General features: G+C 34.5%; 1 annotated feature.

Annotated features, from left to right (window-relative positions):
- Nucleotides 566-1,765: an enhancer, noted in NCBI's record as "P300/CBP strongly-dependent group 1 enhancer chr2:103751570-103752769 (GRCh37/hg19 assembly coordinates)". NCBI's record gives its function as "activates an origin of replication core promoter dependent on BRD2, BRD4, P300/CBP, MED14 and CDK7 cofactors, with strong dependence on P300/CBP, by STARR-seq in HCT116 cells {active_cell/tissue: HCT116}" and the evidence as "EXISTENCE:reporter gene assay evidence [ECO:0000049][PMID:35650434]".

Raw genomic sequence — 25,818 nt, 5'->3', positions numbered from 1 at the left:
GGACCTGGTGGAAGATAATTGAATCATGTGGGAAGTTTCCCACATACTGTTCTCATGGTAGTGAATAAGTCCCATGAGATCTGATGGTTTTATAAGAGATTTCCCCTTTTGCTTGATTCTCATTATCTCTTGCCTGCCACCATGTAAGATGTGCCTTTCACCTTCTGCCATGATTGTGAGCCCTCCCCAGACAGGTGGAACTGTAAGTCCATTAAATCCTTTTATCTTTATAAATTACCCAGTCTCAGATATGTCTATCAGCACTGTGAAAACGTACTAATACAACAAGCTACCCAAAAACACCGGGCCTCCTATTCCAGGACTTGTTACTAAGTCAGTAATAAACATCATTTTTGTAAGCCACCATCAGTTGAGTTTTCCAAAACTCACAGCCAAGTGCAATCTAATGGGTATGGTTGCCTTCTTTTGTGCTTGAGTTTACAATTCAGTGATTGAAAAATCAAATATAATGCTCTATATCCATCAATAATACAGTTTTACGTATTTATTGATATGTAATTGCCCATCCCAGGTCTATTATGAAAAGTTTATTTGCATTTAATTCTAAGTAAATTAGAGTAAGCACAATTCTAACTCCCAGGCAAAGCTAAGTTCCACAGAGAACCACTCAGCCATGTAGAAGTTGGAAGTCCTGGAGAGGGTTCAAATGCTATTACTCAGTAATATAAACGCAAAAGGGAAAATGACAGCCTTCAGGAAGATACTGCCTATGGAACTAAAAAGAAGGAAAACAAATTGAGATACAAGGAATATAAAACAGCATTTCAGAAATTAGCTTTTCTAAGATAAACATTCAAAGGACGTTATTATGATCTGGTTGCGTGCAAAGATGAAATAAGGAGATGTTGATATCAATAGGACCACAGAGCTGGGCTAACCCTGGTGTGGACATTGGGAGCCTGGGGATCACGTTGTGGCTGCAGGATTGGAAAGTCCCCATGAGTAAGCACATGAGACAATGAGCGGGGAAGTCCTACCCTGTGGGTAAAATGAAGTCCCAAGAAAATACTGTTCCTGTGGAAATCCCATATCCAGTGGTTTCCTTTTCTTTTCTGCCTGCCTCATGACCAGACTCAACCCGGAATGTGAGACTAAGAGAAGATAAGAGCAAGTGAGTAAATGTAAATCAGAGTAATGAGCGAGGATGGAGACTGGCCAGCACCATCTTCTTTGATGACACATCTGTCTCTTGTTCTTTTTCAGATGGAAGGTGTTATGAAAGTTGTAGATCTTATTATTCTCTGGGAAACACTGGGAATTTGGCACTTTCCTTTTCCCCCTTCACCCTGCTGGCTGACCTGTGGCATCTCTCCACTTGTCTGTTTATAATTAGGGTCCCCACGAAATTCAGGCAGCTTGTTCTCCAGCTCAGGTGTGCCCCCATCGGCACATGCTGTGCCCATCTGTGCAGTGAATATTAACAAATGTTTCCAAAGTTAACTGTTCCACACGTTTCTCCCCCTCTCTCCATATAACTCCTATTCAAATCTCTCTTTCACACACTCTTGATTTTATAGCTTTAGCCACAAAGAAACAATTTGATAATCAATCTGACGTTGAAGTCACTGAAACATAATTAATTATATTGTAAAAAGTTGTGAACCAAAGTCCACCTTCTACTTCTTCTCTTTCTTTTTAGGAATGTTGACCTCATGTGCTACATTACGACCATTGCTAAATTTCTATTTATTAAAGTCAAAGAAAATAAGTTATTATTCTCCAGGATGTATTCTGACAAGGAATAAAAAGTGGAGATAAGGCAGTTGGACTCCAGAGCACCTGCCACTATACGTGATTAGGCAAGCTGTTTCCTGCTCTGTTCTCTGTACCATGCTTTCCACTGTGCCTACAGTCACCAACTCACAAGTGACATGAAATTAGAGGAATCTGTGGGTGCCCTTCTTAAGGTAGAGCACTCAATCTTTCTCTCTCTCTCTTTTTCCTCCTTCTTTTATTATTTGTTGCTATTGTAGTATTTCAAAGCTCACTGTAGTAAACTACAATCTGTCCCTGAAATTAACCTTGCATAAATCCTGCAAGCAACTTAATCCCTGTATGATTCAAATAACTGGATTTGGGTAAAAATTGTCTACAGAGATATTCCTAAAAAGAAAGTTGTGGAGAGCTATCCCAAAGAGGTTGCTTAGCTGGTATTAACAAAGAGCGTTACAATTGTTCAGCTGAAATGGTGCCCAAGGTAGGAGACAAGTTAATCTGCTTTCAACTGGTTTCTCCAATAATTGGATTTAAGACTATATTTTGAATCCATAATTTATTGGGTTCTATGTATAACTTTCTTAAATATTCTAGGGGAAAAGATCACTAAATAATATCCTTTGCTTTTGGCTGTGTGAATGTTGTATGTATGTCTATATTTATGCTAATAGCATATTATGACTAAGCCTAAAACAATTTAATAGACAAGATTTAAAACAAAGGCTTAAATTATCTAATGTAGTTTGAGAAATCACCCATATTTGTCCTCTGAGTAAAGAAAAAGTAAAAGGACTAGGAGATGCTGGCTGACATGTCATAACTAATAATATGTTGAGAATAATTAGCTTTTGTTGATGAATCAACTATAAACTAATAAGTAGAATTAATACATGACTTCTTCAATAAACATTATTTATGAATTCTAACAGAAAAAAAGACATTTTTCAATGGGCATAATTATGATCAATAGTTTAAATCATTGATCTTTACTGAAATGTTGATGATCTGTTTTGCACACTGCAAACTAATTTTAATGGGAAAAACTATGTGAGTAATAATATATTTCTTTACATATTTAGAAATAAACTTAGTTTTCTATTAAATTATTTAAACTATTCAGAATTTTCATTCATTATTATGTGATCTAGAGAAATGAAGATGCTTAATATTTGTTAATTTAAATATTAAAAAAGAAATATCAAAATCACCCAAATTTTTGAAAATCTAATGTATTTTGTGCAGACTTATACATTTGCTATTAGATTAGGCTTGTAATTCATATCTTCTTGAAGTCTAAGAAAAAATTGATTGTCTTCTAATGTTATATAATTCAATACTTTTTAGTAAAAGATGTATTACAATTAATTTAGAATATTCTGCAGATTTTCATAAAGGAAATATCAATTTTGACATCCATCAAAATACAATGTGTCAAAAATTACTTAATTTTTTATTTTTTGAAACTGAAGAGTATATATTTAAATAAATAAATAAAATGAATATTAAAGTCATTGTAGACTATAATAACAGGGCTTTAAATATTCACTTCAAGAGTTAATTTTAAATACAAACTTGTATACTGTATATTAAACATTCCAGTTATAAAGAGTGTTGTTTATACTCCTTTAGCTGATAGGCTGACGAATGCTCTAAGCAAAGCTATATATTACCCATTAATAAGGTGTCAGCAGTGCAGTGGTGGACAGTTGGGAGAACATGCTTTGTTTAAAATTTTGTGCATGTTTTATAATTACAAGCACAAAATGCATGTAAGTTACAATGTTCACTTTAAAGTCCATTCACAAATCATTTGAAATATTGTAGAATTGATCTTCTTAATTATGCAGTTGGCTTTTAATTGTTAGGCATTCTGGCTATAATTCATTTACTCCTAATCTTTGACAACAAATGGTTAAATTTTCTCCAATGTTACTGTAATGTGTATAATACCAAGACCAAGCTCTCAGGCTTGTTAAACCAATCAGGGAGAAACATATTTTACCCACCCAGGGTATGTCATGTTGGTCTGACAAAGTTTACTTGTTTTTAATGATCTGAGAAACATCTTTAATTCAGGCTCTATAGAGACTCCACAATCCATTCAACATTACAATATGGAAATCAGAATGATATACAGTGCACTAACTTGTTAACTTAAGTGATGTTTTTAGACTACAAACCACAGTTTTCATCTGGTACTATTGTTGCAGGACTTTTCCTTACTTCCTAGCTAAAGACAGGGTTCTTTGTCCCATGGCCATGAAAATTTAGGCTCACAGACAATTTTTAAGACAGGGTTTTATTGGGTAAAAAAGAAGAAAAGAGGACTCTTACCGAGGTATCTGCTGGAGTGCTTCCTGCCCTGAGCTTGACTCTCAGGTTCACACAGGAAGAGGGAGGGCCAGGCTCCTCCCCGCTGCACACTTGTGAACTTGCTGAGGCTCCACCTCAGTGGTCAGACTGGTTGGAGTTTCTCCAGAGACCCACTCCCACCTAGCTGTCTCACTATTCTGATATTATCAGAATTATGATGCTGCTGCACCAGAGAATTGGTTAAGCCTGTACATAACTAACTGCATCCTGTGGTCTTCTCACTTGTTATCTGTCTCCTTCCCTCCCCAGAAACCCACTGTCCCACTATCATCTTCTTGGCATTTGGAATTGAAACAATCACCTGTACTTAAAAAGAGGAGCTTTTAAGAGAATATTCATTCTTAGTGACATTTGCTCAAATTTCAGAACTTACAGTTACCACTTCATTAACTGCATTTCTGTTCTATCCATTGATTTCGATTTTTATTAATGGTTTTTCAGGTCTGAGCAATTCTGGATGTTGCTATAAATGTGTCTGAATTGTCTGCTGCCCGTCAGGTGGGAAATGGCATCTTTCCACTCCCTCTCATCTCCAACAGGGCAGCTTCTGTCCTGGGAATACTGCAGGTTTCAGAGGAGTGTGACATGCAGGCCCTGCTTTATCAAGTCGCAGACCTCAATATTCTTCTTAAAACACGTAAAAAGCACCCTCCTCTGTCTACAGCTGTTCAGGAGGTTTTTAGCTTATTAATTTCCTTCTCACTGGCAATATGTAAGCTACAATTCATTTAAATGGTCTCCCCCTCCTTCCTTCCTTCCTTCCTTCCTTCCTTCCTTCCTTCCTCCCTTCCTTTCTTTTTCTCTCTCTCTGTTTTTCTTTCTTTCTTTTTCTTTCTTTCTTTCTTTCTTTCTTTCTTTCTTTCTTTCTTTCTTTCTTTCTTTCTTTCTTTCTTTCTTTTCTTTCTTTCTTCCTTCCTTCCTTCCTTTCTTTCTTTCTTTCTTTCTTTCTTTCTTTCTTTCTTTCTTTCTTTCTTTCTTTCTTTCTTTTTTCTTTCTTTCTTTCTCTTTCCTTTTCTTTTCTTTCTTTCTTTTTAGAGTCTTGCTCTGTTGCCCAGACTGGAGTGCAGTGGTGCAATTTTGGCTCCCTCCAGCCTCCACCTCCTAGGTTCATGTGATTCTCCTGCCTCAGCCTCCCGAGTAGCTGCGATTACAGGTGTGTGTCACCAGGCCTGGCTAATTTTTGTATTTTTAGTAGAGATGGGTTTTCACCATGTTGGCCAGGGCAGATCACCTGACCTCAAGTGATCCCAAAGGCCGCCTTGGCGTCTCAAAGTGCTGGGATTGCAAGTGTGAGCCACCGGTCCCTCTTTCTTTTTTCATACTTTTAAGTTGTGGCAAAATACATACAACATAAAGTTTACCATTTGAAATACTTCTCAGTGTACATTTCAGTGGCATTCAGTGCATTCACATTGTGGTGCAACTGTCACTGCTATCTATCTACAGAACTCTTCATTTGGCAAAACTGAAACTCTGTTCCCATGAAACACTAACTCCTCCTTCCTCCGTTCACCCATTTTCCTTTTCCCCTTTTCTTTTTGCTTCTTTATCACTGACTTTCCCTCACTGTAATTAGTAGAACATTGTAAAGGGAGTCTAGGAAATTTCCTATAAATTAGTCACACTTACAGGTCAGACCCAGGAGACAATATAAAAGATAGCTCCAATGAGCTCATTCACGGTGGCCAGATCTGAGCCACCATGCAGCACTGGATGATAGGCTGATGCAAGTTCAGGTCATTTTTATTTTCTAGATGCCATCCAGTTCTCCCTTCCATACCCCAGTCCAACCCCTCCACTCTCCCTCTTTGTCTTTACCTAGGAAAAATATGGCACAAAAAAACCCAGTGGTATTTTATATACAAAAGCCACATTTTTCTTCTTGTGATATTACTTTACTACAAATTTGCAGTTAAGTGCTCAGAAAACCTTTTAGTATTTTTACTTATTAAAATCATGATTTCATAGATAATAATTTTATTAATTTCAGAGAAGTAGGCTTTTCACGATTATATCAATTCCTTTATCACCAATTCCATTTATAGAAATAAATGTTAAAGTGGTATTTGGGATATATAAAAATTAAGTATGGCATCCTTTTTTGTTACTAACATTTGAAAAGTAATAGCAGTTTTTGCATTAAGTATTTATGGGTGAGAGGAGAAGTGATAAAAGAGAACAGAAAGAATATTTATATCATTGCTAGGTATATGTTATTTTGGCTATGATTATTACATGATCTTTTAAAGCATTTTAATAAGACCTTTGCTGCTAGTTAAGATCAGTGCTATATTTAAAACTAAAATGATATATTTATACATTGTATCACTGTAAAACTCAAAATGTAATAATGACCTGAACTATATACTGAAAACAAACAAAAAAAAAGCAGAAAGTACTGTGAAATAAGGCTGATATATTGAAAAATATCAAAAATTTTTTTAGAACCTGTGTGTAACATACAGGTTTTATATAATCCCAAAAATGATGTGTTTAATTGTATGGCTAGCAATGTCCTAAGTTAGGATCATAAATAAATAAAAGGAATGCAGACCCATTGAGAAGGCTACAGGTAGAGGTATAGTTAAAACAATAAAGGTAAAATGCAATAATCCCTCAGTCATCGCCTGTGTTCCACTTTAGAATCATATCATTTTAATATCACATTCATATGAAAGTGTCATTCCTGAAAGACCTGAAATATAATATGCGGATTTCTTGAGCAAATGCATAGTCTTCTATATCCTTTTAGGAGAAGGCCTCAGGAAATTTTCCTTTATAGGTATTTCAGTTGTAAAGCAGCTCTTATCAAATCTGGTTTGGTGTAAAATGATTGAAGCCTTTGTCTGAAGATGTTGATACTGATGGTCTCTTTAGCTTCCTTAAGGACATCGAATTCAGATACATCTAAAGAATATCAGCAATATTTTTAAAGGTATATATAAAAACTATAAATATTTTCTTTTTTAACATTATAAACAGATAATATTTATAACTTAAGCTTCAAATTTATTTGCTGTTTTTACTTGTTTAACTGCTTCATTTTTTTTTCTTCAAATACTGTGGAAAGAATTGATGGCTTCTTTCATCCTTTTTCAGGCCAGGGCAAAATTCACTGATATAAATAACATTTTTCTGTGGTTAATATGGTTCAATATTGTGTAAGCTAAAAAGTATCTATTTTCCCTTAACAATTTGGTGTATGTTTCTGCATATAAGCCAAATCACTCAACAACGAGCCTCATTTCACCAGAAATACAATACTGTAGAACAGTATTAAAAGGTTATACTTATGATTGCAGTGGATTTATATGAAACACAATAGTAAATTAACTCAAAGCACTGATAAAAATTGCCTAACATGAATGTCTGTGTTTCTTGTCATGCAATGATAACCTCAAAACACTTCTTTTAGTTTATATGGATAACGGCAGCTGAAGGCTGTGTTCCAGTATTCTACGTTTAAGAAACATTTTTATCAGTTTGAGAAATGATTTTTTTGAAAGTAAAATTTATTTTGTTACTGAAATCAGGTAAAGTTTTCAGGTATTTTATTCATAATTTTCTACTTCTGTATATTCACTTTTTTTTTTTTTTTTTTTTTTTTTTTACTGGTTTCTTCTAAGAGCTCCACATAGGGATGTCAAAAACTGTGCTTGCAGAAATGAAAGTATCCTCATTATGCTAATTTAAGTTCCACTGATAGGCATGTTCTGTTTTATAAATTACATCCTCTTGTCAGAAGTCAAAATGTATTTGAATAACTTCATGGAAATTGTCACCAGGATTTAAAATTGTGTGCCTTACATGCCATTGTTAATTTAATCCATGGGTTTGAAAATGGGCATATATTTATTTTAAAATGTGTGAGTAGTTATTTTGTTGCAAATTTTATCTAAATGTGACTTAAATGCAAGTATAATTTTCATGTGTATTTTGATAAAGTTTTGCTTTTTAGAGATGTATTTTAATTTTCTAGTTTAATAGATATGCTAAATAGCATTAGTTGCTGTATATTTTAGTGCCAACAAGTTTGTTTCTTACATACTTGGAATTTTCCTGAAGGGTAAAATAAATATACATGTTTTCACAAAATTATTAAAATATCAAAAATTAAAATGAAAAGGGGATTTGATTTATGAAAATTATTTCCTGTTCGCCATGATAAAAAGCATTTTCAATTTGCATTTACATGTCATATGCTGGAAAACAAATGCAGTCTCATTGAAATTGAGAATATTTACAAATATCTAAATATTGAATAAGGGGTTTTTTGATGTGAACTAAAAAAATCTAATAGTTTAAACTTACTATTTAAACCATCAATAGACATCTGAAAAAGAACTTCAGGCATACACTGACATGATCATTTTATTAGAGGAAAAAAGGTATTACATTTCCTTTTCAACCATTCCTGATAAAAGATCAGATTTCATTTTTTAAAAAAGTGTGTCCTGTACAGAGCATTTGGGTTTTGTACTCATTTGATTTTACTTTTCAGAATGACCAGTACCGCTGTTAGAGTAATCTTTGATGCTACAAAAAGTGGAAGAATCAAAGTGAAGAGCTAAATCTGTTCATTTTTCAAACATATTAATCTTGTCAAGATAATACATAAAAATCAATCCTTGAAATTTTTTCCAGAGTTCTTTCTCTTCTCTTTTATCCAAAATATGAAACCACTTAGGAGGATAAAGCAATGTGAATGACTTCAGAAAAAAATGCTAAGTTATAATTTGGCTAAATATATTTAAAAATGGCCCAAGTGGACTAAGTTGCATGGTCAGAAATGATGTTTTTGTAACTATTGGCATTTGTCGTATATGCTCAGCTCTTATGTATGGCAGACCGAGAATTTCTTGTAAGGCGTTTTAAACAATTCAACTGAGTTTCAAGTCCCTGACAGTAACAAATACAAATTGCACCAGCCCCCAAAAAAATTGTTGGGGCTAATTTTAATATTAATGAATTCTTTACAACCTCAGTTCAGCGGTTTCGATTAAGCTTTAATTAGTAGCCAGAGGGGTATCCAAAACAAAAATAAGGAGTTGAATTGCTAATTAAGTTAGTTTGATGAGGTAGAGTTTTAGTAAAAGACTGGTTGTTGTTAGCTGTGCAAGTTCTGACAAGCTAAAAATACTAAAGATTATCATTATTGTTACTAACATTCGACATTACCACCAGCTCTCTGCACAGAGCAGACAGTTCATTAGAGTCCCATGCTTTTGTCTGTCACCACTGGAATTAAAGCCTTGTTAATAAGAGAACAGTGAATGGGAACAAGAGTCTAAGACAAGCCTATGGAGCTTTAACTTTGATTGGTTATAAATTAACTAGTTATTACACCCAATTGAATACATCTATTCACTAACAATTCTTTTTTTTTTTTTGTCATTCACTGAAGTTTCTACAAAGATCTTACTTATTAGAAACTGATGTTGCAAAAGAATTTGCTTTCCTCTGTGTTCGATGGTGAATGTATTTTTTCTTTATGTTCATGTTCTGACCAACTTCCAAAATTGCACAATTTCATAATGAATTTGAAATTTGAAAAGAGAGCTAAAAACAAGGAAAACCTACCCACTTTTTAAAGATAGAATACACCTTCTCCTAGACCTCTGTTGGTAATCATTGTATCTAAAGAACACATGACAATATTTTTAATTATTTGAACACTCTCAATAATAGGTTTTATTGGAAAAAACTTGGATAATTATTATTTCAAGCTGGAAATTAACTCGTTAGTAGAATTGGCTCTTCCTAGTACAATTTGAATGCTCTCCTTGTACCCCAAAGACTACTAATTATCCTCCTGAAAGCTCTCTGGTGATGAGGATTCGCCCAGACTGCACGTGAGGAATGTGAACTATCTTTTTGAGGATTGTGGAGAATGTAATTTGATTTCTCCATACTCCAATGTTTTCTATAATTTGTATTTTATCCTTTTGCTTAAGGTTTCAAAGCCTACAAACCCAATAACTTAGGGATAAGAGAAGACAGAAAAATAAATGATATTGTTTCTGCGGTATTAAATATAAGCCTGGCTATCGTAGCTGCATGGCGGTCGCGAATTGTAATCAGGTACTTTGACTTAACACTGTTTTGTTTTATAATAAGGTGGTTGCCATATGTTGGAAAACCTATCCGCCTGTAACTGAGGGGCTCCGTACCCCTGTAACAAATCCAAAAACTCATTTTATAATACCTTAAATCTATCCATTGTAATGTAGCTCCACAAGTGTAAATCCACATCAAACTTTGCTCATGAATGTGTCTGGAAGATTACGTATATTATCATTGAAAGCTAAAGGGAAGCAGTGAATTAGAATGCAGTGGATCTAGTAAAAATAACTTTCAGTAAATCTTCTTTTAATGCATAGTTTACAATTTTCTTTTGCTCAGCATGAAACTGATTAAGATCCCCCTTCTAAAGAATATCTTCCCCCTCACATAGATGCATTGTTTAATATAGTTACAGCCCCCAATAGTTGACAAATCAGAATTTCAATGCCGCAAATGTGATGCTTGTTTAACAGCAGCAGAGAGTATTAATAATTTATCTATTTGAATGTACAATAGTTTCCGACTATAGTATTTCACATGGTGCAGCAACCAAACACACATTCTCTTAGTGGTGAAATCTTCAGTGTAAGCAAGTTACTGATATCTGCTAGAGGAGTTTAGAAATCAATGCACATGTTTAAATAGGTCCATTAATTGTCACTTAAGAATTACAATTTAAATAATTAGATATTATAGGTTAAAATGTAAACAAGTAATAACATAGTAAAACGAAAGCTAGAGAAGTCTTTTCTTTAAATCAATGCTATTAGTTTCTAAAGATAAATTATCCTCTGGAAATCTATAAAATTAAGGATGAGAATTAATCTCCAGTATTTAATTTTGTAAAAATTTTCTGTCTAAGAAAATGCATACTGTAATCAGTTTGAGGCAAGGTATATGGGATAAAAAATAATCAGAACATTAAAACTCTTATTTAAATATCTAGCAAACAATCTATGAATTGTATATCTGAGATAACAAATTAATTTGTCCAGTGAGTCAAAGGCAACTTAAAATATAACAGTCAAACAAACCTTCTATTGAAATGACTTTTAAAAAGGTGATGAAGATTTCATCTTACAATAAATTATTTTCTAGTTTTTATATAGACAAAATCTAGAAACAGAAAACACTTATTTTAAAAGAAGAAATGGTTATTTTATTATTTTTATTACAAAATACAGTACCTCTAAAAACCTTATTACAGTTTCATTTTATTTTCTTGCCAATAGAATATTGAAGAATATTGCTTAAAGTAGGATTTCTTCTTTTGTTTCACAAGAATATCTCTGAGTTCAGACACAAAGTTGAACAAGGGGCATACCAGGAGAGATATACTCTTGAGCTGGGATACAAAAAATATCTAAATTGTTATAATACTACAGTGTTATGAAATTTATTTTATTGATGGTTTTAATATTTTCTTTCATCTCATGAAATTTCTTATTTTTATTTCATTCATGAATATAACTTATGAGATATACAACAAAATATCCACTCACTTAAAAAAAATCATACATGTGTCCTAAGGCAGCGTCAGAGAAACAGACAAGTGTGGGGGGGAATGGGCCTCCTCTGTCCATCAGGGCAAATAGGTTTCACTCCGCAGAACCAAATTTCCTCCTGCTTCTTTTCTTCAGCTCTGGAACCCCATAAGGTCATCTGAGTTTTACCATATGTGAACTTGAGGAAGTAGATTACCTTGTATGTTAATGTGAACTATCGTCGAAGAATCAGATTGATTTCCCATCTGCCACCTCCACTGCCACCTCTGAAAATGGTCACATTACTACTTCTGATGGTGCTTATGTCTGCCCAGCTACCCAGAACTTCACAGTAAGATCTATTCTTAAAAGTAGAGAGATCCTTGAGAAAACAAAATGATAGAAACCCTTTATGTTACATTTTACATGATTAGATAATACTTTCATGTCAAGAAGTTTTTCAGGAATAGAGAAATTAAGAAAAATAAGTACATTTCTCTTTTCCATTTGTCATCTAGCTATATAATTCTAAAAGAAGCAACTGTTCCCTATTGTGTGGATATAGCATTTTGAGGTTTCTAGAGATAGCAGATCTTTTTTTGCTTTGATCCCAGAGAAAGAAACCTACATGAGATTTTTAAAATGTGTATAATGAAAATAATAGAATTGCTTGTTGCTTAGCTTTAACACTTACCTAATCTATTCTTAAGTAAATAAGACAGCTGTGGCATGGAAAAAGTGTCTGTTAAACCCAGCCACCGGTTTAATAAAACTACCACAACTATTAGATGTTGAGCAAAGTGAGTGCTGTAGGGATTTTGATAACTATATCCCAGTGTTTTTTTAGAGATTTTTACATTCTTGTATCTTAAAGGTTTATTTGGTCTATGATTTTATAATAACATTAGCATTCTGGTGAAATTTCTGTTTACATGTGTTATTGTATTTTATCTTCAAACCACAGGAAGAATGATACTAGCATTTCTTAAGTACTTACTGGTGTCTAATTCTATGGTAAAACTTTTCAAAGGATTACCTAATGTCACCTTTAAATAAAGTTTTTAGACAAACTCTGTGTCACATCTTGGGGGATATTCACAAGAAGGTCATTAATGCGACCACCATCTCACTATGACCCCATAGCAAATCTCTCTCTGAACATTGTGTTCCACTGCCACCTCTGAAAATGGTCACATTGCTGCCTCTGTTTGTGTTTATGTCCACCCAGCTGCACAGAACTTCACAGCAAGATCTATTCTACACAGGAGAGGAGACAGCAAAAGGGGTGCCCAGAAGGATACTTAGAGCTTGAAAGATTTATTTTGCAGTGTGGTGGTAAAAGCAGAAATCTACTTTTCAAAAAGAATTCTATCTCAATATCAAAAGAAAGGAATAAACAATCAAGTCTCTTTGTCACCTGGGCCATGATAATTTTCCCCACTGTTGCAGACCACCGTCTGGTGAAGTGTCTGTCTGTCATACTACAGAGTTCGTAAATATTTGCTGATGAATGAATAAATGAATAAGTGCCTCTCTGGAATGAAAGGCACCTGTTATACAAATTATATAGCCACACACAAAGGAGCTCTGAAAATGCCCCCTCTCTGGAAATGGCCCATGGAGGGATCAGTGTTTCAGGTGACTGGAGCATCCAGAGAGGGACAAGGGCAGCAGCTGAGGCACCTGGGCTGCTGAGGGATGGACGAGGAGCACCGCCCAGGAGAAGGGAGACTTGGCATGGCCACACGCTCCCTCTGTAGAGTAGGGATGCAACTTCAGAAAAGCCACATGGCCCTCTGCAGACACGGTGAGGTGTGAGGAAGGACATCTGGCTTTGATTGACTTTGATTGAAAGACCCGTGTAGCAAGCTCTGTCACCAGAAAGCCACATCTTCTTAGTCTCCTCAACTATACAATGGAGTTAAAGTTCATATTAACCTCAAAACGAGGCTGAAGAGCCACTTGAGGCAATAGGCGTTGGAATCATTTGTTAAACGGCCAAGTTCAATATAAATGATTCTTCCAAAGAACATTTACTGGGTGTTTTGGAGCCTGAGATTCAAGCACCTTCTCAGACAGACACCTCGATTCCCTTCCTAGTGCTGCCTTTACTCTCTGGCTGGCCCCCAGCAAGTTAGCAAACCTCAGTTTCCTCATGGATTGAATAAGCGGCATCCTAGCGCGTGCCTCCTGGGCCTACTGTGAAGGTTCAGTGAGAGAACGTGTGTCCATGTCAGGCAGCCAGCTGGACAAATGGTGGCTGTGATGCTCCACAGAGTGTGTCCCGTGTACCAGGTCCTGTGCTGTGGGAGGTGAGAATGTGCTTTCCAGGTGAAATGACAGAGCCAAAACCATCATTTGGTGATATTTCCAGGCTACCACAACTACTCTGCACAACAGCTAGGAGGCAAGGCTCCCTGTGAGCCCATGAGATTCTTTCCCACGTCCTTCCCTCGCTGGCCCTCATGGCATCAGCAGGACCCGTATTCAGGGTCCTGGAGCTGGAGCAGCCTGGGTATGGGTAACGAGAGTGAGAGGGCTTCTCCTTGCTATTCATTTTGTCCTCTTCTCATTCCTGGGGCACACTTAAAACAAGCCATGGGCCTGGAGAAGGCCAGCTTCTTCCTGCTTCCTCCCTCAAATTCCTCTGGAACAACACAGGATTCAGAGCACTTGTCTTTTTTCCCACAGAGTGGAGCTCACATAGAAAAAATCAGTAACATTTTCCTGTTCACTGAGAGCTCCTTAAGGAGTAGCTTTCACTTCTAGCCACACTGAATCTCTGCTTTGATGCTCACTTTTAGTGGCAAGTCCACTCAAGGCAACAGGGCAGTGTGCCCATGCATTTAGCCTCCAATGACCCCCCTCTATTAGGAGACCTTCTTACAGCCACTGTTTTTTCCCCCTAAAAGTGCATACAACAGGGAGGTTGGAGGAGGGAAAGGAGAAGAGCTTGTCAGCAGCTCAACAATAATTCATGCAACCTTATAGGCCTTTCTTCCAGTCAGTCAGAAGAAAGTGGGTGCTGGCAGATTATCACCATGTCCTGGGACAAGCTGTGAGGAGAAGGGAAAGAGGAGGGAGGGAGCCCTGGAGAAATGGGACTAGATGTCCACCTAACACTTCCAGACACCAGCCAAAAAAGCCCTTCTCTTAGATGAACTCTAATTACTACACGAACACAACCGTAATCAATGTTGTCCTTTTTCAAAGCTGCATGTAAAGCAATTATCTTCTAAACTCAAGCCAATTGACACCACATACTGTAAAATCATGTAAACAACAGGTTAGAGAAATACTAGTATCTAAGGTGGATTTTGTTGTCATTCTTTAACTGGCTCTATTCTGTAAACTGCTTAAGCTAATGCTCAGATTTTAGGAGATGCTAATATAGTAGTTTTCAAAGGATACATTAGACCTATATTCATCCTGCTATAAAGTCTATAATTTTTATTTGAAATGAGATAAACATATTATGTTTTCCAAAATTGCAATGACGATTATAATCAAATGAACTAAAAATAAATCTACTTTCTAGAAGTGGATTTATTACAGTTTTTGTGTGGTTACTTGCAAACATTCTCATCATTTTGTGAAAACTTTTCCCGGGTGGGTTTAAAGAGCTAAGGGACCCAGGACAATGTCCAATTTCAGTTGGGTCCTCTTGATGGAGAAACTTGCTGCTACAGGAAGATGTGGACACTGTAATTTGATCATGTTTTCATTCATCGTATATGCTGAATGAGTTATGCCATCCCTTGGCTTCCAGAAAGAAATGACCTGGGAAAGATAAAAGGATTGTTCCTTTCTCCTTCTTTACACACTGTCAGATCCTGTTACTGAAAATTAAGGTCCAATACAATTCTTATTCAGAGATAATTAGCTGACACCTTTGTGGCCAGGGAGATAATGGGGCTGAAAGGGAGGTTTTTAGCAGATCTCCCAGAGGTGTGAAGGACCAGGCCCTGGATTTGTTGGCTGAGGTCATAACTTTTGATGGAACATGAAATGTGGTGGACAAAATGCAGCTTACTTAACTGCTGTGATTTTAAAAGTAGGTAAAGCCAAATAAGTTACATTGATTTTTCTCCCATAGTTAAAAAAAATCAAGAGTATATCATTAGTAATAAACTATGACTTCATTAAAATGTTTCACATAACAGGATTAGGGAAGAATGTGTCAATAATTGGCAAGGGTTTGTCATTCATTAATTAACACCTTTGCATGAATAGAAACTTGTTATCCTTATGTATTATAGGTGAAAGATGACTTAAAATAAGTCATAACATTTATGAATATTGTTTTGTGAATTTTTATAACTTAATAATTAGATTCAAAAACTTTTTAAAAAGTTTTTATTTCAAATAAGTATTATTTGGGTGAAAGATGGTGGCGTTTTAATAGTTAATGCCTATAACAATCCCTTCGGAAGAAATTAGATAATTTTGTTTCTCATATACAGCTACACTAATTTTAAATTTGCATTTACTTTCTTACCTGCCTTTGTAGAAACAAAACATAAATGTTAATCATTACAATGGGTCATTCAGACTGTTTTTCACCATAATTACCTTAGTGTACTAAAGTAAAATAGATCTCTGCAGGAAAAAATATCAGTCAGAGGAAAACTTGGCAAGTAAAATTCAGTTCATAAAACTCTAGTGCTGTTTTTTAAGTTTATCGCAAGTGAACAGTGTACATTAAAAGTTAATAGAAACATAAACATAATTTTCTTGATAGTTACTTATAATCTAATGCATACTCAAAAATGTAGCCAAATTACACTTTTATTTTTTCATTTCTTCTAAAATAGTACCTTTTTTTCATGACAAACCTACATTAAAGTAACAAGCTATTCTTCATTTGAAATGATTGGGCCAGGATTAAGTGAAGAGGAGAAATGGCTGGCTACGTTTATCTATTTCTAGCTAGACATGACAAAATAGAGTGTGCTCACTCAGAGGTGAAATTTGATGTTTTCTTTATCCTCCAAGAAAGGCAAATAGAGAGCAAATAATTATGTGGTAAGATTTAAGTTACAAGTTTTCCTAAATAGGTTATTTCTAAATTTCATTTTGTTACTTCGTTTATGTGGAATTTGTCAAGGTCCCATATATGTTTGTATTTAAAATAATCATTAGGATAATTATGGTACTACTCCAGTTGAAAATCTAAATATATGGCAGATACACACAAGTGCGCTGAAGCATTTAACTTGGTTGAATTTTTCTAATGCAGTTTTGCTATGAAGCACCCATATGATTTAATGCAAAGATACAAAATGTATGATGCTAAATCATGGCATACATAAATTACTTATTCTAAGTAATAGATTGTTTTTGAAATAAATGAATATTTTGAAGATAAATTACAAATAATGTATATTCAAGCCATAGAGATCCTTAAGTCATATTACTCATTTAGTGAGAAAAAATTTAAACAATTTATGATCAAGAATGCAAGCTGGGGTAAGAACATAGCTTATATATATGCACACTAGTGCATTTGTGGAGAAATTTTCTATGGCATATCTCAGGTTAGACTGACTTAATGCCCTCCTAACATCTTTTAAACATTATAGGAATTATGTATATGCATTTCTCACTCCATTCTGTGCTATTCTTTTAATTCATCAATTTAAAAAAGCATGCAGTCAAGGAACTGCTGAGTCATTCTTAACATAGAATTTACTTCTACTTTAGGAGAAATTTGCCATCACTGGGACATTAATTCTTTCAAACTTTCTATTTTGTATTTGACATCCCAGATGCTTCCTACATGACAATCAAATACTCTAGATTTTTCATATTATTTGGATTTCAAAATTCTATTTCTGTATCAAACTCATGTCAAGGCACACACACATTCATAGGTTGTTTTTTTTCCCTTTTTTGGAGAATTTAAACACAGGTTAATATAGGATTGATCATTTGAATTATGCCAGAAACATTTTCTTATGTGTTTAGTTTATTAGGAATAGATAATCAAATGAAGCTTTAGAAGTTGTCTTAAAATTTTTGATTACTTTTCTTCTTTATTCATTTGTATCAGGTTTACCAAAAACATGTGGTTAATGAGTTTATATTTGAGAACATCTGTTACCATTTTTACAATTTTTATTTTTTTATTTTATTTTATTTTTTTTAGAGTCAAAGAGTCTCACTTTGTCACCAGGCTGGAGTGCAGTGGCGCAATCTCGGCTCACTGAAACCTCCGCCTCCCGGGTTCAAGTGATTCTCCTGCCTCAGCCTCCTGAGTAGCTGGGACTACAGGCACCCGTCACCACGCCTAGCTAGTTTTTGTATTTTTAGTAGAGAAAGGGTTTCACCATGTTGGCCAGGATGGTCTCGATCTCTTGACCTCGTGATCCACCTGCCTCGGTCTCCCAAAGTGTTGGGCCTCCCAAAGTGTTGTGAGCCACTGCGCCAGGCCCACAATTTTTAATTTTTATGAGTAAACAGTAGATATATATGTATATGTATAGGTATATGCATATATATGTGTATATATACATGGGGTACATGAGATATTTTGACACAGGCATACAATGTATAATAATCACATCAGAGTAAATGGGATATCCTTCAACTCAAGCATTTATTATTTCTTTGTGTTACAAACATTCAAATTATACTCTTTCAGTTATTTTTAAATGTACAATAAATTATTATTGATTGTAGATACCCTGTTGTACTATCGAGTACTAGATATTATTCATTCTTCCTAAGCATATATTTGTGTCCATTAACCACCCCCACTCCCTGCATCCTTCTTCTCCATTACTCTTCTCAGCAGCTGGTAACCATCCTTCTGCTCTCTATCTCCATGAGTTCAATTGTTTTAATTTTTAGTTCCCACAAATGACTGAGAACATGCAACGCTTGTCTTTCTGTACCTGACTTATTTCACTTAAAATAATGTCTTCTCATTCCATCCATTTTGTTGCAAATGACAGGATCTTATTCTTTACGGCTGAATAGTACTCCATTGTGTACATGTATCACATTTTATTTATCCATTCATCTGTTAATGGATGCTTAAATTGATTCCAAATGTTAACTACTGTGAATAGTGCTGCAATAAACATGGGAGTGCAGATATCCATATATTGACTTCCTTTCTTTTGGGTACATACCTAGCAGTGGGATAGCTGAATCATATGGTAGTTCTATATTTTGTTTTTTAGGAACCTCCATACTGTTTTCCATAGTGACTGTACTAATTTATATTCCCACTCACAATATGCAAGTGTTCTTTTTTCTCTACATCCTTGCCAGCATTCATTATTTCCTCTCTTTTGGATAAAGCCATTTAACTGGAGTGAGATAATAGTCCGCTGTAGTTTTGATTTGCATTTCTCTGATGATCAGTGATGTTGAGCATTTCTTCATATACCTGTTTGTCACTTGCATGTCTTCATTTGGAAAATGCCTATACAGACTTTTGCCCATTTTTAAATCATATTATTAGATTTCTTTCCTATAGATTTGTTTGAGCCCCTTATATAATGTGGTTCTTAATCTCTTGTCAGATGGATAGTTTGCAAATATTTTCTCCCATTCTGTTATTAACATTTTATTATTGCCGGGCGCGGTGGCTCACGCCTGTAATCCCAGCACTTTGGGAGGCCGAGGCGGGCGGATCACGAGGTCAGGAGATCGAGACCATCCCGGCTAAAATGGTGAAACCCCGTCTCTACTAAAAATACAAAAAATTAGCCGGGCATAGTGGCGGGCGCCTGTAGTCCCAGCTACTTGGGAGGCTGAGGCAGGAGAATGGCGTGAACCCGGGAGGCGGAGCTTGCAGTGAGCCGAGATCACGCCACTGCACTCCAGCCTGGGCGACAGAGCGAGACTCCGTCTCAAAAAAAAAAAAAAAAAAAAACATTTTATTATTATGTATAAAAATGAACTGTCATATGTTGTACATTATATATTCTATATAAACTATATTTCATGTATATATTATGAATAATATAAAAATATATAGTCATCTGCATTCCAAAATAAAAGAATCTTTAAGGTTAACTTGGTAAAAAGGTATAAGGTAAATTTTAAGTTATATCGTAACAAAATTTCATAATAGCCTTGAAGAATATTCTAGGAAATACAATTTGAAAGAAGGAGTTTAAGTATTCAGGGCATTTACTCTTGTCAATTAAAAAATATAAAATATATTATATTAACAGTTAGAAATATTTCTATATGTTATTGTCACCAGTTAATGTAACTGTTAAAACTTTAGTTTGCAAGTAAATATGGATTACACATTTCTTGAAATTTTCACAATTTACTAATTTTTGTCATATTCTAGTGGATCTGCTGCCTAATTTGTGAAAGTTTACACAACCTTTCTACGTGAAGAATATTGCAACTTTAAAAACAGCATGAAAAATTTTGTTACATTAGGATGCAAAAAGGTGAGTAATTTGTCTTAGGGAATAAGATAGTGAAGTCATATATGATTATATTAATACTAATTTTATATGTTAAAATTTTCAGCTAGATGTATGCTAAACTAATTCATCATTTTCATTGATAACTTGACAATTTATTATGCAACATTGAATAATTTGTTTATTAGTCAATGGTCATAGTTTAGAAATACAGGTGGTCATAGTTTAGAAATACAGGTTGAGCATCTCTTATCTGAAATTCTTGGGACCAGAAAAATTTTGGATTTTGGATTTTGGATTCTTTCTATTTTGGAATATTTGCATATACATAACGAATATCTTGGGGATGGAACTCAAGCTGAAACATGAAATTTGTTTTATATACACATTGTACACATAGCCTGAAGGTAATTTTATGCAATATTTTAACTAATTTTGTGCATGAAACAAAGTTTTGACTGCATTTTGATGATGACCTGTCATATGAAGTTAGGTGTGGAATTTTCCACTCGCAGCATTATGTTGGTGCTGAAAATGTTTCAGATTTTGGAGCATTTCAGATTTTCAGATAAGGGAATGTCCAACCTGTAAATACAAATTGGTGATAATTTTTTACCTAAAAATCCCATCAAAATCAGTAAACTATGCAACTATAACTTGGAATGTTCTGGCAAAAGTATCTGAGGTCTAAGCCATATCAAATAAATAGATAAATAATTTGATTTTTTTAAATCTCAAATTTTAAATAGACTCTAAGAAATACCTAGTAGGCATTTTTCAGATTGCCATGAGTTCAACATGCCTAAACGCATCAGAATTTGAATGTCAGCATGAAATAAATGTTGATATTCCTTGAGGTTTGGGGATGAGTACCATTATGCCCATATTGACTGTGATGTATATTTGACTTACGTCTGTGTGTGTGTGTGTGTGTGTGTGTGTGTGTGTGTGTTTGTATTCAAACATATGTGATTTTTTTGGGCACGAAGATTTGTTATGCCAATTTACAGCCCTGAGTATTCATTGTACTGCTAAACCAGCCAGTTTTTTAGATTATCCTGAGAACTTCATCAGAGTCCGAGGGGTAGTAAGAAGAGAGCAAAATTTTTTGGTGTCTAGTCTCTTTATTTTGAGGACAAGTGTAAGGGAAATTTGCTAAACCTTTGTTATTGAATCTTTGTCAAAAAAAGTTAATAATATTATTTTAGCTTACTATGAGAATCAAAGTAGATAATGTATTTTTAGTGGGGTTTGTGTGCAAAATATTCTAAAAATGCCATAGGTTAAAGCATTCATGAGTATTTTTTATAATTGAATGTATCTAATTATTTTTCGTGCTATCTGTATTTTCAGGTTGTTCTATTTCTTGTTAGAATACTCCTTAAACTTACTAAAGCTACATAAAACAATTGTTCTAAAATTGCTTCTTCAGTTTCTTTTTTGAATCATAGATCATTGGTCAGAAATCTTCAGGCAATGTCTATAGTGACTATTTCATGAAATATACAAAATAACCCTCTAGATCTATTTTATTGGAAATATATTTATATTTTCTATAAATCTAAGTACAATGTCAATATAAAATATGATTATCTACTAAATAAACCAATCAGAACCTAAAATAAAAGTAAATACTGTCCTAACAATAAACTTTTTGGCAGATCATACACTTTCTGTAATAAGGCTTTTGCTCAGAACACATTGAAAGCCCTATTTTTTTTTTTTTGGATGTGGTTTTATATATTATCTGTAGCCTTGTCATGCTATAGTTACAGTGTATTTTTGACTCAGAAGAGAATCAGTTAGCCTGGTTATTACATTTATTTACCAAGATTAAATGACATTTCACTGTTTAAAATGAATTTAATTCACACTCAAATATACATTTGTTATCAATGAAAATGTTTTAAAGAATGTACAACTAACTCTAAGAGGAATCTCCAAAGAAAATTTCCAAAAAGATTTCTTTGAACAGTGGCACACATTTGAAAGGCCTTGAGAGCCCAGATAAACAGATGAGTTGGCACAATGGAAAGTTTAACAGTAACTTTAAGTAATTCTTCAGTATTTATTTAGAGATGGTATTGGCACTTCATGGGAAAGTTCTCCTCTTTTCCTCATCTCAGCACTGTTTGTCTATTTAGCAAAAGAAAGTTTCATGGTAAACAGAACCAGCCCTCCTTAGATGACAGCTGGTGACCATTCATTGGACAAGATCATGGATTCTGTAACATGTCAACATCCTCCATTCAATCACAAGAGATTTATTCTTCCCAACTGAAACAAACATATTAGGGCTTCTGGTAAACACAATTTTCTCCATCCTGTTATATTTCCTGGAAAGTTTCAGTATCTCTTATGTTTTGTTCTCAGGTTGACATGTTGTTTGTGTAGCTGTTTAGATATATGAATTCTGATGTGCTACATACAATTGATCATACTACTTTCTTTTTTATGGTCACAGTTTACACCTCCAAAAAGAGTTAACTTATGTTAACTCAGAGGTAGTTAAGGAGATATTCAAAGTGGTGAATATGCCCTTTCTTCCTTTGGAAGTAGACGCCATTCTCTGCTCTTCCATGTTACCCATAGAGCAGCCTCGGATGGAAATGAGATGAACTAGAAACTGACAAGGTTGACCTAAGGAACAATGGCTTTGATTTAGTTAAGTAGCTAAGTAGATCCCAAAGACGTATCAGCTAAATGATCCACTTCCTTTATGACTATGCATCTTTACTAAAATATATTTTTAAATGATAGTTTATATTACTACAGAAAAATGATGTGTCCCCTAAAATGTAACTTTTATGACAGCATGCACGTTGAGAGTCAGTAATGATTTGTTGAATGAAAGCAAATGTGAGCCCAAAGGAATCTGGGTATAATTGATCTGATCATGAGATTATGCTTTAAAGCGGATGAGTAAGAAGTAATAATCTAACACATAATGTGCTTAGTCAGATGAATCTGTTTTTCAAAGTAAAGATAAAAGGAAGAAATTTGAGCATGGTTTATGGGAAAAATATTTAACAAGCCATTAAACTATCAATTATCCTAAGAAATAGTTGAAACAAGTATGACTATGATTAAGTTATTTTTGTTACTAATATCAGAATATCATATTTGAAAAAGAATATGTTATAAAAGCTTAAAATCTTCCCATTTCAAAACTTTACTCATTACATCCAATCAAAAATCACAGCCAAAAAAAATTGTACTGTGTCCTTCAAATTAATCACCGAAGTTTCTGATTATTTCATAAACTCCTATCTTGTCAATAACAAGTTTCTTGACATTAAATCATGTGGGTGCTTGTAAAATTGTTTTACAAATATTAAGAAGATTAAATAAAAAATGAATCAAGAAACATAATTTGCTAGAATGTTCTTCATGTACACAATCAAGTAGGAATATTTTGTAGCCTTTATACGGATGTTGTCTATTAGAAATAAATTATATAATCATGCTGCTAGATAGATAGGCAATAATGAATTAGATTGCTAAGATATGTAATTGGGCTCTTGGAATGCATGTTTGATTGCCCTGAAAAAGTGCACAAAATAATTTCCCTTAATTGCTTTTATTTCATTTCTTGTCAAACCTAAGTTAGGGTGTTGCTTTAAGGTAAGAAACTACTTACTTTTTGTAGGAAAATAATCTCACCAATTTGGAGGTTGTACCAATCTTGCCTTGCAAGTTGTACCTATGAGAGTTTCAGTCCAAACCTCAAGACAAGTATGCATAACTCAGGTTTCAAACATTACTTATTAGGACCAGTCAGTGGCTTCTTCATTTCTTACCCACTAGAGGCAAAACTAGGGTTTGAAGGTGTATCCATCTTTAAAGAATATAAGCACTCTAAACCTATCGTCTGGCAAAGGGCATTTGGAAATGCTAAAAGGTGAAAACAGTTGTCCCCAATCTCCTGACTTTGGAAAACATGTTGAAATTCGAAGTTACATAATAAGAATCCATCACCCTTTAATTTGGCAGCAAAGATTCCTTTGCTGTGCGAGTTAGCAGATAGCTGAGAAATACTAAAACTTCATTAACTAAATAAGCACAGATAAGTGTTATTTGATTCTGTAATGTTGGAAGTGAAATAACAATGCTTGTTATAGATCTGAAGTTAATTTGTTATGATCAAAACCAAGGATTTGCTAAAAAGGTTACTTTTAGCTACAAGTTCTAAACCTTTAATATCCAATACATACAAGTATATTAGAGTAAACTAAGAAACTTTATAAAAAGAATAAGGGATAATGATTGGGGAAATGTACCTTTTAAATCAGTAGTTTTAATCAATTATCAATATTCTGTTATAGGTAAAATATATTCTCTTTCCTGAAGAGATGACAGAATTTTTACAATTAGGCTACAGTGCAATCATTTTTGTGCTCAGTATGGACTTTAAACACATCACTCATCCATTACCTTTCTATCCCATTGTTCTTCTAAGACATTGACCATATGATGCTTTTCAAATTGTCATCATCTACAATGTTGAGATCTGCCAAACAGCAAATCAACCTTTATAATTAAAGTTGACAAGCTGACAAGAAAAATGAGTGTATACTTGCATATATATATAAATTTTTATGTCACATTGCCGTCTGTGCACTTGTTTGCTTTTTGTCAATAGCCGAAGGCTCGTTTCTCTGCACCAGAAGCGTGTTATATTCCAAGGTCCTCAGACAGCTCCCCTTCGCCCTAGTGAGTCTGTTGATTAATTTTGGATACTCTTCTTAATTAACACCCCAAAGGATGTCTAGATTATCTAGCCTATAGTCCATGAAAAACAAGTGAATCTGAAGAATAATAACCCAGGGAGACAAGCATGCACTCTTCAAATGATGTTATAAGAACATCGAGTCTCTCTCAAGTCAAGATTGTGTCAGGCAATGCCTAGGGAAGATGCAGGCCTTTAATCGGGGCAAAAATAGAAATTCGTGTTAGTCTAATTTAATTTTCTTTTTGACAAGGAGAGGAGTGATAGATGCCCCTTGACAGATGAAACATGGCGCCTCAATGTAGCCATGGTTGCCATTGGCCTTGATTAGTAACTGGTCCCATTTTGACCTCCAGGCAGAAGAGTTGATGAATGAGAGAAATGAGTGAAGTAATTAGAACAGTAAGATCAAGTATGAAACTAGCCATTTGTATCCAAATCTGTGAAACCTAATAATGGAACCAAGAAACACTAAGCTCATGGCAGCTTCCATAAATATGTCTAAAGACTGGAATCCTTTATATGTGAGGGTCACAATTAATCAACTCTGACAATACTAGTTTCACAAACAAATTTGAGTTCATGTTTTTAAATTACCTTTTCTAAGGAGCAATTTTATAAAAATTTTTTGTTAAACCAACTGTTGCATCTATCAAAGATGCTAGGACCCACAATCTTTTAATTTCTGGGCCATCAAGAACAAGTTAAAAAAAATCCATCATGACTTTTCTAGCAACAAAGCTAGAAAATCAAGCTGACCTAGATACCTAGTAAAAATCATCTCAAATAAATAGTATGATAACTAAAATTTTCACTGACTACCATTCTAGACCACCTGACTTTGCATAGTGTAGTTAGGGAGCGTTTTTGAAGCTGAGTCATCTAATTGCTACTGTTGTGCTGGTTGAACTCAGCACTGAGAAGCTCCACATTTAGAAAAGCATATGCCATCCTATCTGTTCCTTTTCAAAAGAGAAAAAATATCTTCATGTTGATACTATATATTCCATTTTTACTCGTACTAACAAAATGCTGA

The sequence above is a fragment of the Homo sapiens genome, chromosome 2, assembly GCF_000001405.40.
Source record: "Homo sapiens chromosome 2, GRCh38.p14 Primary Assembly".
Classification (NCBI taxonomy): Eukaryota; Metazoa; Chordata; class Mammalia; order Primates; family Hominidae; genus Homo; species Homo sapiens.
This window is presented reverse-complemented; position numbering and strand designations above follow the sequence as displayed.